At 39.6% G+C, this 15,176-nt stretch overlaps 1 long non-coding RNA gene across 2 annotated transcripts in view, besides 1 other annotated feature; it reads left to right on the plus strand.

The window, feature by feature from the left end:
• LOC102724744 (uncharacterized) overlaps positions 1-15,176 on the plus strand; it is an 81,680-nt gene that overhangs the window by 27,935 nt on the left and 38,569 nt on the right. The gene's annotated exons all lie outside the window — the stretch shown is intronic.
• Positions 4,394-4,983: an enhancer, noted in NCBI's record as "NANOG hESC enhancer chr2:107350468-107351057 (GRCh37/hg19 assembly coordinates)". NCBI's record gives its function as "activates a minimal SCP1, AML or CMV promoter by ChIP-STARR-seq in naive H9 embryonic stem cells {active_cell/tissue: H9 hESC(naive)}" and the evidence as "EXISTENCE:reporter gene assay evidence [ECO:0000049][PMID:30033119]".

Below are 15,176 nucleotides of genomic sequence, written 5' to 3' on the forward strand. Positions count from 1 at the left end.
TGACCCCGGCAGTATCTGCCAGGAATTGCTGGCCCCAGCACATCTGTAGGGAGCAGCATTGGAGGGCTGAGGTGCTGTCTGCTGTGGATAGAGTTGTATCTTCCCAAATTCATATTTTGTCCTCCCTAAACCCCCAGGGAGTGTGTTGAAGACAGGACCTTTAAGGAGGTGACTGAGGTGAAATGAGGTAATAAGGATGGAGCCCTGCTCCCATAAACCTGGTGCCTTTAAAAGAAAAGGAAAAGATGCCAGAGTTCTCGCTCCACAATTTGAGAACTTAGTGAGGAGATCCGGGAGCCAGGAAGAGGCCCTCAGCAGAATCTGGGCACGCCATCACCCTGAGCTCAGACTTCCCGCCTCCAGGGCTGCGATGAAATATGTGTCTGTTCTTTAAGACCCCGACCTGTGGTATTTTGTTGCTGCTGTTCAAGCTGACTAATTCACGGTTTATCTCTCAGGCTGGTAGGGGCTGGTACTTAACATTTCAGGAGAAATGGGCCCCCAAATCCTCTGCTCAGCCCATGACCTGGGGCAACAGGTTACTGTGGGCTGGCTTATTGCCAGTTCAGAGGGGTGGAAATCACCCTGCCTCTCTAACACCGGCTGGTTTTCCAAGAGGTAGCAACAGCAGAGACTGTACTGGTTAGGGATTGCATCTAGCTAGGAATAATAGAAAATGTAGCTATTAATAGATTGGCTTGAACAAATTAGGGGTTTTATTTTTTTCACTGTAACAGGTAGTCCAGAGCTAGGCATTTCAAGGTTGGCATAGCAGGTCCATGATGCTGTGAGAGACTTGGGTTCTTTCTGTTATTCTGCGCAACTGCAATTAGCAGACAGCATGCTTATTACCTTGTAGTTTTCAAGATGACTTCTCTAGCTCTAGCATCAAGTTCCTGAACCTGGTCAGAAGAAGAGAAGGCCAACCAGCGTGTCAGCTGACACTGACCATCCCGTAGCAACTTCCACTTATATCCCATTGGCTCAGACTGTGCTCTTCCTACCTGAAGGCAGGCTGGGAGATTTGGTGCAACAAAATGTTCTGTTGGTAAGAAGAAGCAGAAGCAGAGAAGGACACTGGAAGGCAATGAGCACTTTCTGACACAGAGGATTCACAGAGCTGAAAGCAGGCAAACCAGAAACAAAGCCAAACCTCACCTATGCAGACCTGGCTACCAGAAGGGAGAAGACAAAGCAAAATACCTAGAATAGGGGCTGCTGTTGAAATTAAGGAGTCGACAAAGTCAGCAACGACTTTAACAATAACAACAAAAAGTAATAGGGGCAATTAAAGGAATTCAGTTAGATAAAGACGGGCTTTTCAGAGCTAAGACACATGATCTTTTAAAGCAGGGGTCCCCAACCCAGTACCAGTCTGTGGCCTATTAGGAACCTGGCCACACCTCAGGAGGTGAGTGGCTGGCGAGTGAGCATTACCACCTGAGCTCCGCCTCCTGTCAGATCACGGGTGGCATTAGATTCTCATAGGAGTGCAAATCCTGTTGTGAACTGCACATGCGAGGGATCTAGGTTGCTCACTCCTTATGAGAATCTAACTAATGCCTGAGGATCTGAGGTTGAACAGCTTCATTCCGAAACCACCCGCTCCCCAGGTCTGTGGAAACATTGTCTTCCACAGTATTGGTTCCTGGTGCCAAAAAGGCTGGGGACTGCCTAGGCGGGCGGATCACCTGAGGCTACTCTGGAGGCTGAGGCAGGAGAATCACTTGAACCCAGGAGATGGAGGTTGTGGTGAGCCGAGATCGCACCATTGCATTCCAGCCTGGACAACAAGAGTGAAACTCCGTCTCAAAAAAAATAAAAATAAAATAAATAAATAAATAAATAAATAAACAAATAAAGTTAATTTGGGCCAGGTGTGGTGGCTCACACCTATGATCCCAGCACTTTGGGAGGCCAAAGCGGGCTGATCACCTAAGGCCAAGAATTCGAGACCAGCCTGGCCAACATGGCAAAACCCCATGTCTACTAAAAGTACAAAACTTAGCCAGGAGTGGTGGCACACTCCTGTAATCCCAGAGACTCTGGAGGCTTAGGCAGGAGAACTGCTCGAACCCAGGAGGCAGAGGTTGCAGTGAGCAGAGATCATGCCGCTGTACTCCAGCCTGGGTGACAGACCAAAACTCATTCTCAAAAATAATGATAATAATAATTTGATAAAATGAAAGAGCACTCATTCTTGAGAACCAAATTAATTGCCTAAGTGGTTAAGTTGAAGAAAAATATCAAAGCCTAGACCCATGAAAATCATAATCAAAAAGGTAAATTCCTTGAAGGTCCTGGCTAGAACATCTAACCAAAAGAAAGATTTGGATCTGCTAATGAAAAGGGCTATCAAGTGCCAGATAGGATGAATTTCTTTGGAAATATTGAATTCTCAGAAGAAAAAAGTAAACCTTTAAAAACCAAGATCTAAGGAGAATAACTTACAAGGCAAATGGCCTTAAGTTGACACCAGGCTTCTTCTCTGCATGACTAAAAGCCTGAAGATAGTGGGTTAACATGTCTACACAGTGGAGACAAAAGGAAGACCACCACCACCTGTCACGGCAGGGTGTTTGCTGGTGTGAGGGGATTGTGAGGGGACATTGTGCATTGGATATCTCAGGCATATACTCAAGAAGGTACACCAATCACATCAACTCACTCTTCCACGGTCACGAGAAACCAGAAGTTGTGAAGATTGAGAGTTTAAAATAGCAATCAAAAGTAAACCTAGGAAAATCTTTAGAAACTTCTGTTGATCATGTAAATAAAAATAAAGTGAAAAATTCCCTATTGCTTCTGAAGCATTTTACAATAATCTGATTGCAGGGCCCTCAACTAAATCAATGGAACCATTTCTTCATATGCCAAGATAAGAATGCCAGGGAATCCCTGTGACAAACATTCAAACACAGAAATATGCCTTAATGTCTGCTGGTTAAAAGGGGCATATGGGGGAAATGCATATATAGAATTTAAAGTAGGTAGGTGATCTGAGGGGAAGGATGTAGACTCTGTTACAGGTTTGTCTGCTAGTGTCCGCCAAAGCCCTGGCCCGTGTGAAGCTGTGTGATGGGGGAAAGAAGGGAAATGTTGAGGGGCAGGGAAATGTAGGGGGTTGGTGGCAGCTCCTGAGCCTGGGGGGAGGTTTTGGAGGTCCTTCTTGGGGATTATATGTAGTCATGGTGTTGAGAAGTCATTTCTTTTAGAACTTCCGTTTTGAAAAACTAAATGAAAGGGAAATGGAGAGAAAGGGAGGTGAAGGGAAGGTAGAGGAGAAGAAAGAAGTCCAGGTTGGGAAGTCAGAATGGGCTGATTATGAATGGGACCAGGTGGCATGTTTTATGCCCACAACACTGACAGTGCTAGTTGGGGGTCTTCTGTTGCAGGGGTCCAGTTGATGGCTCATGTACAAGGTTTACATGATTATGGGACAATCATTTATCTGAAAGCCAAAGAGATGGACCTAATAACTCAAACAGAAAGGGACTACAGTTTTCCAGAGAACAAAGCAAATGACAATAAATAGATAGGTATTGGACTTGATGATGAAAAACAGGAACAAGTTGTGCAGAAACAACAGTAACCTTTAGAAGAGCAGGGCCACAGGTGGGCTCTGCCATCTGGAAGAAATGCAGGTGAGTAGTCTGAAGAGAAAATTTTGGGCTAAATAGTCTGAGCAGTAGGTGCCTTGGCACCTGTCACCACACCTGTGCACTGAGTCCTGGTGCAGTCACAAGCTTTTACTGTGCTGCCTTACTCACATCCTCTTAGGTCAAGACCCTTTCACATGCCAGTGAGTGTTCCCTTAACCCAATAAGCCCCTCTTCCAACATACTGTTAAGCTACAGCCATGGTTTCCTGGTAATAAAGATAAACTCTACCTAACTCTTGGTTAGCATCTTAGTCCCCGCTAGATATGGAATCCTCTCTCAAGCCAAACCTTACCTCCCTGTGAGGCTGGACTCCACCTCTGACCATCTTTCCCAGCCTACTTTTTGCCTGAAGTGCATGTCTCCTGCAGTGCAACCATAGCTATCTGAATATCATCCCCACTTTATTGACTTGTTATTTCAACAAATATGTATTGATTACCTACTAAGTTTTGGACACTCACAAGGCCAAATGCCAGGGATTTTGAGCTAGATGAGGTAAGGTCTCTGTCCTTACCAGAAAATGAGAGAACTCATTTTCTGGTGAGAAGGAGACAGTCACATCAGGAGATAACTCAATGTAATGTGGAAAGTAGATAAAGACAGGCACATGATAGAATGTGGGAAGTACACTGAATGTGGGAAATACAATGAGAGAGACAGGCACATGGTAGAATGTGAAGATGGATTAATGGTGCTTCATCCCACTTAGGGAAGGAGAATAGATAGTGGAGAACATACTGGCCTGAGTCTTAAAAACTGGATAAGCACTTTGTATATATAACAGGGAGGAAAGGCAGGTACTCCCCTAGAGGGGACAATATGAAACAGGCAAGGAGGGGAGCTATCACATGGTATGTATGGTGGGCTACACTTGTCTAATATTGACTGAAAGTACAACTTACAGGAACAGTACAGTGTCCGTATGCCGCCACATCCTTCCTACATTCAGGACAAACAACATTAAGTGGTCACAGCACCATTTCCTGCTGAGTCTGATTTTAGCCTCAAAATCCTTTGAAACACACAGCTCCAGGCAACCACAGCTAATTGGTCAGTATTAGCATACAAAAGGTAATTTATTTACCATAGTTTCTGTAAGCAACAGGGACTATTGAAGCTGAACTGTGACAGGGACACACATCTTTGTCTTCACTACACTGACTGCAAACTCATTGAGCCCGAATTCTGCATCAGATGCCAGAGTGCTGGTTCTCGGTCCACCCTGTGCTTTCTCCAGTCTGCTCTGTATATCAGGGAACAATATTCTCCATGTCTCTTTGCCTTTGTCTTTCAGGTAGGTTTTGCCAGTGGGAGGCATGTGCCAAAAATTGGAGGCAAGGAGATGGGGGAAGCTCTCACTCTGCCTTGTGGCATTTCTGGCCAAGTCCCCTGGTGGACCCAGGATCCCCTAGGCATGCTCTCCCTCTGTGGGCTCAGCTCCCACCAGACTGGCCTGCTGCAGTTCCAGCTTCGGGTGGGTGACCACCTCATTCCTTTGTCCCTGCAGCTGCAGGAGGGATGAACCTCTGGTTGACCTTACTATCCCTGTTTGTTTGTTTAGTCTTTCAGCAATTCCACTATCTTATTCCTGACCTGCAGAATTCAATTCCTTGTTTGAAGCACCTGGAGTGACTTTATTTTTCGGAATAAAGCCTTCACTGACTCAACTTGTGTCACTTCTACCCTGTCTGGACTCACTTTCCTTTCCCCACTCAGTAGCAGATGGTGCCCCATCATGCTTCAACACTGAGTTTATACTGTGTATGAAGTTAGGGACCTAGTAGAGGAGAGGTGGGTTAGGGATGAGGGGGTGACAGAGAAGAGACCTCTCCAACCCTGTCTGGACATTCCAGGTAGTCGCTCTGCACAGGGCCCCAGAAGAGTGCCTCAGTATCCCTGGCTGAAAGATTTTCTTCAGAAGAGAGGACCCTGCCACCCTCCTGCCCCCTGCTTGGGAAGTCTGAGTTCTGTGAATTAACAGGAAGAGCTAATGAAAATTTAGAATGTACTGAGGAAAGGACTTATGAATCCCAGAATTGACCCTTATTTCACAACCTTTTGGCGAAATGAGAGAATAGTGGCACCTGTGGTACCCATTCAGAATGGGAAGTTGTCTTATGTATCTCTCCCTCTGCACCTCCAGCCGCTTATTCCCTCAGAGTGAGAACGGTTCAGAGAAACAGGCAACAAAAAGGAATGGCCTTGATATTCCTCAAATCCACCTGAGAGTTTCTTTCCAGGTAAGCCACAGAAAGAACAGTAGCCTTCCTCTAGGATCGCTTTTCCTTCTGGGTCTCTGCAGGATTATCATTGAAAGATGGTAACTTAACAGGTTCTGAGGCCCCTCAAATTTTGTTCAGAAATATATAGAAATACGGTTTCTAAAAATATTCTCAATATACCTAACGGGATAAGGATGATGATGTCAGCTGAGTTTCATTTTAGGCAGCAGTAAGTAATTCTGCTTACCTCAGCTTTTGAGAACACATGATTCTTACCTGTAGATTCTCTTTTGAAATGATTATTCTTCACATAAAAATAAGTTTTTTCTCATTTTAGAAAGAGCACTCTTGTTTAATTAAACCTTCCTATTTACGCTCATTTTGTAAAATTTCTCTGGGATTTGGAGCTGGTCGTCTGTGGGAATTTAAATCCATGGGGAACAGCTTGTCAGAGTCTTGGTAACTTTATTAGTAAAGATCTTTCTCTCTTCCTTTTCCTGCTGACTAGGCATTAAGGCTTGATCTGAATCATCTGTTATTTTGAAACTGTACATAAGTACGGGGCTCTCAGATTCAGAGAAAAACATAGAGGAAGAAAACAAAAAATGACTCCTGTGGTACTATAAATAAGCAAACCTGTATTAAGTGAATAATTTTTATTTCTTTCTTGACGAAGGAATTCAACTGATTCTCCACGTCATTTAGTGACTTAATTGTCTTAATGACTCCAGGGACTCCTGTGTGGCTCTGCCTCATATTAACTCATGGAATCTATGTTTCTTGCTCTGTTTTTATTGGGAAAGCTGGCTGTCTTTTTGAATAAATGTAGATTGTTCTTTCTTTTATGTGGTTGTTTTATGAAGGTGTTAAAAATGCCACTCTAAAAGACGGGACTGGCAAATTGTTTAGTTAAATTGTGCGTGGCAGATGCCTATGAATTCTTCACAGCTATTATAGTTTCCCTGTAATGTGCCATCATCCTGAATAGATTACACTTTAGATATTTTCAATGTTTATCCAAAATGATGCCACAACCTTATGTGGTCCACTTGGAAACACCCCCACTCCAAGCCCCAGCAGCAGCTCATGGAGTTTGATCAAATGCTTCCATGCACACTCTGATTTTATTACCCCTTCATTTCCTTGCACCAGACAGATAGGGAATTCAAGATGCACCTAAACAATGAGGGACATCCTTTATTCAGGTCTAAATGCTGTATTGATGTTATAGAATGACTGAATTAGCATCATTCCATTTTGTGTTTAGGGATATTAAATGTCATTGAGAGGAAATATATTTAAGAGGCAAAACCCTAAAACTTGAGGATTAAAGAAGAAAATTTTCAACACATTGGTGTTTTCACATGAGCATATGGAGATATAGCAATTTTAATAATGTTGCTGCTTTACTAAAAGCTTCTGTATTGAAGAATTTCTTGATTATGTAAGCAAATCTGATAACCCTCATCCCAGAGGGAAAAAACCATCATCACATATCATCAGGGCCTGGGATATTAGAGCTGACCCTACAGTCCTGGCCAAGTGTTCTGTCCTTTTTAACCACATACATGACAAATGACGGACTGCTGTGTAATATATTCCCTTGGGCAACCCAAAACTTCCAGCCTTTGATTCACTCTGCAGTTCAAAAACTTCTACCTAAATTCAAGTGATTGAGAAGGATACAATTTTGGAATATCCTTAAGCTCGTTTTAACCCATTATTTTTTAGTTTAACAAACCGCAGGGAAATTCACATAAAATTAATTATTTAAAGTGCACAATTCAGTGGTATTTAGTACATTCACAACATTGTACAACTACCACCTATTTTAAGTTCCATAACATTTTCATTGCTGATACGGTTTGGCTCTGTGTCCCCCTGCAAATCTCATCTCGAATTGTAATCCCCACATGTCAGGGGAAGGACCCAGTAGGAGGTAATTGGATCATAGAGGTGGTTTCCCCCAAGCTGTTCTCCTGATAGTGAGGGAGTTCTCACTATCAGAGAGCTGATGAGAGAGCTGATGGTTTTAAATGTGGCACTTCCTTCCTCTATCTCTCTCTCTCCTGCCGCCTTGTGAAGAAGGTGCCTGCTTTCCCTTCACCTTCCACCATGATAGTAAGTCTCCTGAGGCCTCCCCCGCCATGAGTAACTGTGAGTCAATTAGATCTCTTTTGTTTATAAATTACCCAGTCTCAGATAGTATCTTTATAGCAGTGTGAAAACGGACTAATGCAATCGCCCCAAAAGGAAACCCCATTAAACAGTTACTTGTTATTCTCACCTTTTCCCAAGCCTTGGCAACCATCATTCTTCTTTCAGTCTCCGTAGATTTACCTACTCTGGATATCTTATAAAAAATGAAATCACACAATATGTGACCTCTTGTGTCTGGCTTCTTTTACTTAGTATAGTGTTTTTGAAGTTTTTGCATATTGTAAGATGTATCAGTATTTCATTTATTTTTATAGGTGAATAACATTTCATTTATGTGTATGTCATATTTTGTTTATTCATTCATGTTTAATAGATTTAGGGTTGTTTCCACCTTTTGGCTTTTGTGAATAGTGTTACAATGAACATCCATGTACAAGTATTTTTTTAGTATCTGTTTTCATTTTCGGGAGTATTTACGTAGGAGTGGAATTGCTGGGCTATATGGTAATTCTATTATTTACTCTTTGGGAAACTGCCAGACTGTTTTCCATAGCAGTTGTACCATTTTGCATTTCCACCAGCAATGTCTGAAGGTTTCAGTTTCTTCATGTCCTCACCAACACTTGTTATTTCAATTTTTCTTTCTTCCTTTTTTTTGTTATTATAGTCATTCTAGTACGTTTGAAATGGAATCTCATTGAGGTTTTGATTTACATTTCCCTAATGGTTAATGATGTTGAGTATCTTCTCATGTGTTTTTGGGTACTTGCGTATCATTGCAAGATGTTTGTCCAAATTCTTTGCCCATTTTCTAATTGGGATACTTCTTTTCTGCTGAGTTGTAAGAGTTCTTTATACATTCTGGATACTAGATAGACCCTTAGCAGATGTTTACAAATATTTTCTCCCATTCTGTAGATTGTCTTTTAACTTGTTTGCTAATGTACCTTGGTAAACAAAAGTTTTTAATTTTGATGAAGTCCAACTTATCTATTTTTTGTTGCACTTGCTTTTGGTGCTACATTTAAGAATTCATTGCCAAATCTCAGGTTATGAAAATTCACTACTATGTTTTCTCCTAAGGGCTTTTTGGTTTTTATCACTTACAGGTAGATCATTAATATATTTTGTGGATATGCAGTTATACAGCTCTACTTGTTGAAGAGACAGTCTTCCCCATTAAATTGTCTTGGCATCCTTATTAAAAATCAATTAGCCATAGGTTTATGGGTTTATTTCTGTAGTCTCAATTCTATTTCATTGGTCTATATGTCTATCTTTATACCAGTACCATACTCTTTTTATCACTGTAACAGGTAGTTAGTTTTGAAATTGTTTTCAACTTTTTCATTTTCAAGATTGTTTTGGTTATTCTGGGTTCCTTGTAATTCTTTATGAATTTATGAATTTGAGAATTGGCTTTTCCATTTCTGCAAAAATAAACATTGGAATTTTAATAGAGATTGAATTGAATCTGTAGAACACTTTGAGTAGTATCATCATCTTAATAATCTTAAGTCTTTTGATCCATGAACATGGATGTCTACATATATTTAGGTCTTCTTTAATTTCTTTCAGCAATGTTTTATAGTTTTCAGTGTATAAGTCTTTTAACCCTTCGATTAAACTTATTCCTACGTATTTTACTCTTTTGGATGCTAATTGTAAGTAGAAGTAACTTAGTTTTTAAAAGGCAAATGAAGCTCAAATGTGATGCTTTATTATCAACACATTAACTACCATTTAGTTCAGCTTTGCCCCAGTAATTCTACTATGTTGTCATTGAGGTAGAAATCTTAATCCTCTCACCCTTCATTATTATTAAGCTTTTGCTTCCACAATTCTTTATAGTGCACAGTTTTAACTAAAGGTGACAATTAATATAAATTTATTTATTTTTACCTTCAGAAACTATTCATGCCATGCCAAATATATGTTATATGTGACTGCATATGAACACATAGCACAAATACTATAATGTAGTGTCTGACTATTTTAGGATGAGGCAGTTCTACATGAGCCAGTGATTCTGTTATACAGTATTAGACATTTTTTGTAAGTGAGCAGTCATTGAAAACTTGTTCTTTAAAAGCATTAATAATTATCTATTGTTTTGCTGAGATTTAAAAAAATAATGAGCACCAAAACTTACTGCCTGTCTGCAAACTAATCAAATCTAGTTTGGTTGGGAATAGAGTGAGATGTTGTTCAGAGAAATTTAGAAAACTCTTGTTATTTCCTATAGAAGTAGAGTTTTAGGATTCTTTCATGGATGTCTCAAGGTCCTTTAATGGCTTATTAGGAGAAAAGGATGCAGAAGAGAATGATCTCTAAATTGTTAGGAGTAATAGAAAAAGGCTTTCCTAGTTCCGAGTCCATGGGAAGACTTGGTTAGTGTATTGTTTCATAGAACCTTAGCCTGGTTGTTTTACTTATGTAGCTACAGGTCATGGTAATTAATTACACTCCAAGATAATTAGCATCTAGGTGGGCAGAGTTTCTGTGACATAAAGAGAGACAAAAACTTTTTTTTTTTTTTTTGAAACAGAGTCTTACTGTCTCCCAGGCTGGAGTACAATGTTGCAGTCTCGGCTCACTGCAACCTCTGCCTCCCAGGTTCAAGTGATTCTCCTGCCTCAGTCTCCCGAGTAGCTGGACTTACAGGTGCCTGCCACAATGGCTGGCTAATTTTTGTATTTTTAGCAGAGACAGGGTTTCACCACATTGGCAAGGCTGGTCTTGAACTCCTGACCTCCGGTGATCCACCCACCTCAGCTTCCCAAAGTTCTGGGATTACAGGTGTGAGCCACCACGCCCAGCTGACAAAAACATTTTTTCCACTAAATCTGTAACATTCAAAGCTACAGAGTTGGGGAAATAATCCATTTCTCTTATTTATGCTGAGGGACTTATGAACTGTTGAATAGTTTGTAAAACAAAAACCCAATATGGGCACAGTGGTCCCCGCTTATCTATGGTTTCATTTTCTATGCTTTCAGTTACCCTCAGTCAATTGTGGTTTAAAAATGTTTTAAATGAAAAAATCCCAGAAATAAGCAACTCACAAGTTTTAAATTGTGCACCATTCTGAGTAACATGGTGAAATCTCACGCTGTCTCACTTAGGACATGAATCATCCTTTGTCCAGCGTATCAAACTATCTAAGCTACCTGCCCACTAGTCACTTAGTAGCCATCTCACCTATCAGGTCAATCAACTGTCATAGTATCACAATGCTTGCATTCAAGTATCTCTTATTGTACTTAATAATGGCCCCAAAGTGGAAGAGTTGTGATGCTGGCATACTGTTATAATTGCTCTATTTTCTTATTAGCTATTGTTAATCTATTACCATGCCTAATATATAAATCAAACTTTATCATGGGTATGTATGTATAGAAAAAAACATATGTAGTATATATGTCCATATACTATACTATGACATATATATATATGCATGTGTGTGTGTATATATATATACACCTGAAACCCTATATATAATATAGGGTTCAGTACTATTCACGGTTTCAGGCATCTGCTGAGGGTCTTGGAATGTATCCCTCATAGATAAAGGGGGACTACTGTATAGCCTTTCTGACTCATGATTAAATTTCATTAACTATTGCTGAGATTATGTTCAAAGAAATGGTATAAGGTTTTTAAATTAACTAGGTCTCATAATCTCATCTGTAAACTACAGATCTTACTCACCTTTACTATTCAATGAAAACCTGTATTTGGGGATAAAAGGACTATCTATGATTTCTATTTTTTTTCTTTTGAGCCATTAACAAAAATCTTAAAACTTTACTAACAGGATTTAAATGATATACATTCAGGTTGGGAAAACCAAGAAGACTGCTCCTCAGAAAAGGGAATACCACATCCTCCTCATGGTCATTAGTCAAGTCATCTGACTTCTCATTTTGGGGATGGTCTATGGAGTGTTGGCTTACTTGCTACATATGGGCCACCTGGAATGGTGTCACCAGTCATAAGTACTATACCATTCATTTTGACAAGAAGACCCTGTGTATAACCCAATTATCTACATACTGATAAGCGAACAAAGAAGGCCCTGTGTTCTACACTTCCTGTAACTTAGCGGAATTCAATCTCTCAACCAAGTCATGTACATTAAAAAGTTACCTATGTTTCACTAGGGAATAGAGTCTTTTTACCAGGCCTGTGGAATTAGGAAGTCAATAAGATAATAAAAATCATCATCAGGTTTTCCTGTTTGGTTTAAATAGAAGAGACAAGCGTACTATTTCTAAGAATATGTTGACCAAAATCCTGTAGCCATTGCTTCCCCAGGCTACACTGACTGATGCTGTTATCAGTCCTTGTGGATTACGGTGGACTGCCTGTCATCAGCATTGCTCACTAATATTTCCTGTTCTCCTTCTGCGAACATGGAAGGATTAAACTTTCCTCTCTCCTAAAACTTAGGTTTGGTCATGTAACTAGTCTTGGTCAATGAATGTGAAAACTGATGTGTGGCACTTCTGGGTGGAAGCTTTAAAAAGAGCTAGCACAGAATTAGCCACATTCCCCATTCCATGCTCTGTTGATTACAGAAGTACCTCTGTCAAGAAAGCCTCTGTTGAGAGGAGAGAGCTGTGGACATGGGGCTGGGATAAAAACATAGCTGTCACCATTTCTGTGAAGGGATTAGGATTCCTGAAGGCCTGGATATTCTTATGTAGGACATGGAATTTTGCCTCTGGAACTCATTTTTTTTCCAAGTGCAAAATTGAATTGGTTAAGTTCTTAATATTTCTAGAAATACAGCACCACATTGATGACAAACTATCAACCAGCCTGTTCAATAACACTGACAATATATCAAGCACATGTACTAAGTTCATAAAATTACTGCTAATATAAGTTACAGAGAAAAATCAACTCTCTCAAAACGTTCCTATAAAAGCAGAAAATATGTCTTATTAAGCATGTGTATTTTAAAAATATTCATTAGGGAAGTTTTAATAAGTCAGAAATTAACTTAAATGGGGCACTTAGAAACTTTATTAAAGCTGATGTTCAAAATGTACACTATAATTTGTTTCAAAATTTCAGAGTAAGTTGATGAAAAGACAAAATTTGGGGACACTATAAAAATAATGGAATAAGATATATAGATATGCATATGCATATATTATATGCACACATATATACACATAAACACATGTATATGTGTGTGCATGTGTGTGTCTATGTGTGTATGTATAGAAATATATTTATACACATACATATTTTCTCACACATGGACATTCTTGTACTTCCTCCTGAGCAACAGAACTATTTATCATTTTCTGCTCTTTTAAAATTTTGACATTTGGTTATCATCTGTGATACCTTGATAAATAATTTCTCAAGTTTTTTTGTCCATATGAAAACTTCTGAAACGCATCTTTTGAGTTCTTGGGTTTGACAAATTCTCCACTTTATTATGATAATGGTTTGAAAACATCAGAGGGCAACCGTGGGTCAACCAGAGCTGTGTTATGTTTTCTCTTGGTATAACCATTTATAGTTTTCAAAATGCTTTGAAATAAATCTTGCTATGTAATACACGTGTATGTCTTTGTATATTCACACATACACATTTAAATGATTTTACTAGCTATGAAATTCAAGTGTCTCTTATTTTAATAATTAAATAAAACATATTTGAGCACTATTTAATACACTCAGGGTACTATGAAAGGTATTGTGGGGAATAAAAATTATTAACATTTATAACCCTCAAGAAACTATTTGATAATTCAAAGTGTTTGGTGAAAAGTGAGTAATAAAGATGTATGGGATGTCACGTTTTAAAATAGTCTTTTGGATCTTGAAATGAAAGCCATTTAAAACTTCATGATTAAAGGTGAAATTGGCTATGTAAAATCAATTGTGAAATAAAACAGGGAAGTACGTAGGCAATCTAGGATTTTATGCTACCATTACCTCTGCCTCCTACTCTGTCCACGCCCTTGCTTCTTCCTCTCTACACTGGTATAGAAAAGGAGTCTCTCAAAAGTATAGAAATTGAGAGAAATTCAGCAAGAATTTGCTATCTGAAAATGCTTTGTAACTGAGATTGACTGTTTAAGACTTTTTAAAATTGATTTTTAGTATGTTTTCTCTCAGGCCTTTTTACATCTCCCTTCTGGCCATGGTGTGATATGAATTTAAATCAAAGCTCAATTTAGGATAAAGTGAATTAGAATAATTTAAATTTTAATTTGTTCAATAAAGGCTTATTTTTGGGTGTCATTTCACTTATCTGATTCCTTGCTGTAGACAATGGGATATTTTGACTTTAATTACATACACATACTTAGGGCACCAAATTGTCATTAAAGTGGGCCTGTTAAACAGTTGCTCTAATGATGTCACTCCTTTGTATAAACCCTTCTGTGTTCCTTGTTTGGGGCTGATTTTTTTTTTTTTTTTTTTAAGACAGGGTCTTTCTCTGTCCCCCAGGCTGGAGGGCAGTGGTACAATCATAGCTCACTAAAGCCTTGGATTTCTGGGCTCAAGCAGTCCTCTCTCCTCAGCCTCCCAAGTATCTAGGACTACAGGTACGTGCCATCATACCTAGCTAATTTTTTTAAAAAAAATTTTGTAGAGTTGGGGTCTTGCTATATTGCCCAGGCTAGTCTTGAACTCCTGGCCTCAAGTGGTCCTCCCACATTAGCCTTCCAAAACACTGGGATTACTGGTGTGAGCCACTGTATCTGGCCTGAATTTTATCCCCAACAAAATTTATATGTTGAAATCCTAATCTCCAGTAACTCAGAATGTGACTATCTGCAGACAGGGTCTCTAAAGTGGTAATTAAGTTGAAATGAAGTCTTTAGGACGGGCCCTAATCTAATCTGACTGGCATCTTTATAAGAAGAGGAGATTAGGACACACAGACCCACAGAGAGGAAGGACCGTGTGAAGACAACGGGGAGAGGGTGGCATTTACAAGCCAAGGAGAGAGAGCTCAGGAAAAACTAGCCTTGCCAACAGCCTGATTGCAGACTTCCATCCTCCGGAACTGAAAGAAAATAAATGTCTGTTGTTTAAGCCACCTAGTCCGTGGCACTTTGTTATGGCAGCGCTGAGAAACTAGTACATTCCTTTTACATTT

This window comes from Homo sapiens, chromosome 2 (genome assembly GCF_000001405.40).
Source record: "Homo sapiens chromosome 2, GRCh38.p14 Primary Assembly".
NCBI classification, from domain to species: domain Eukaryota; kingdom Metazoa; phylum Chordata; class Mammalia; order Primates; family Hominidae; genus Homo; species Homo sapiens.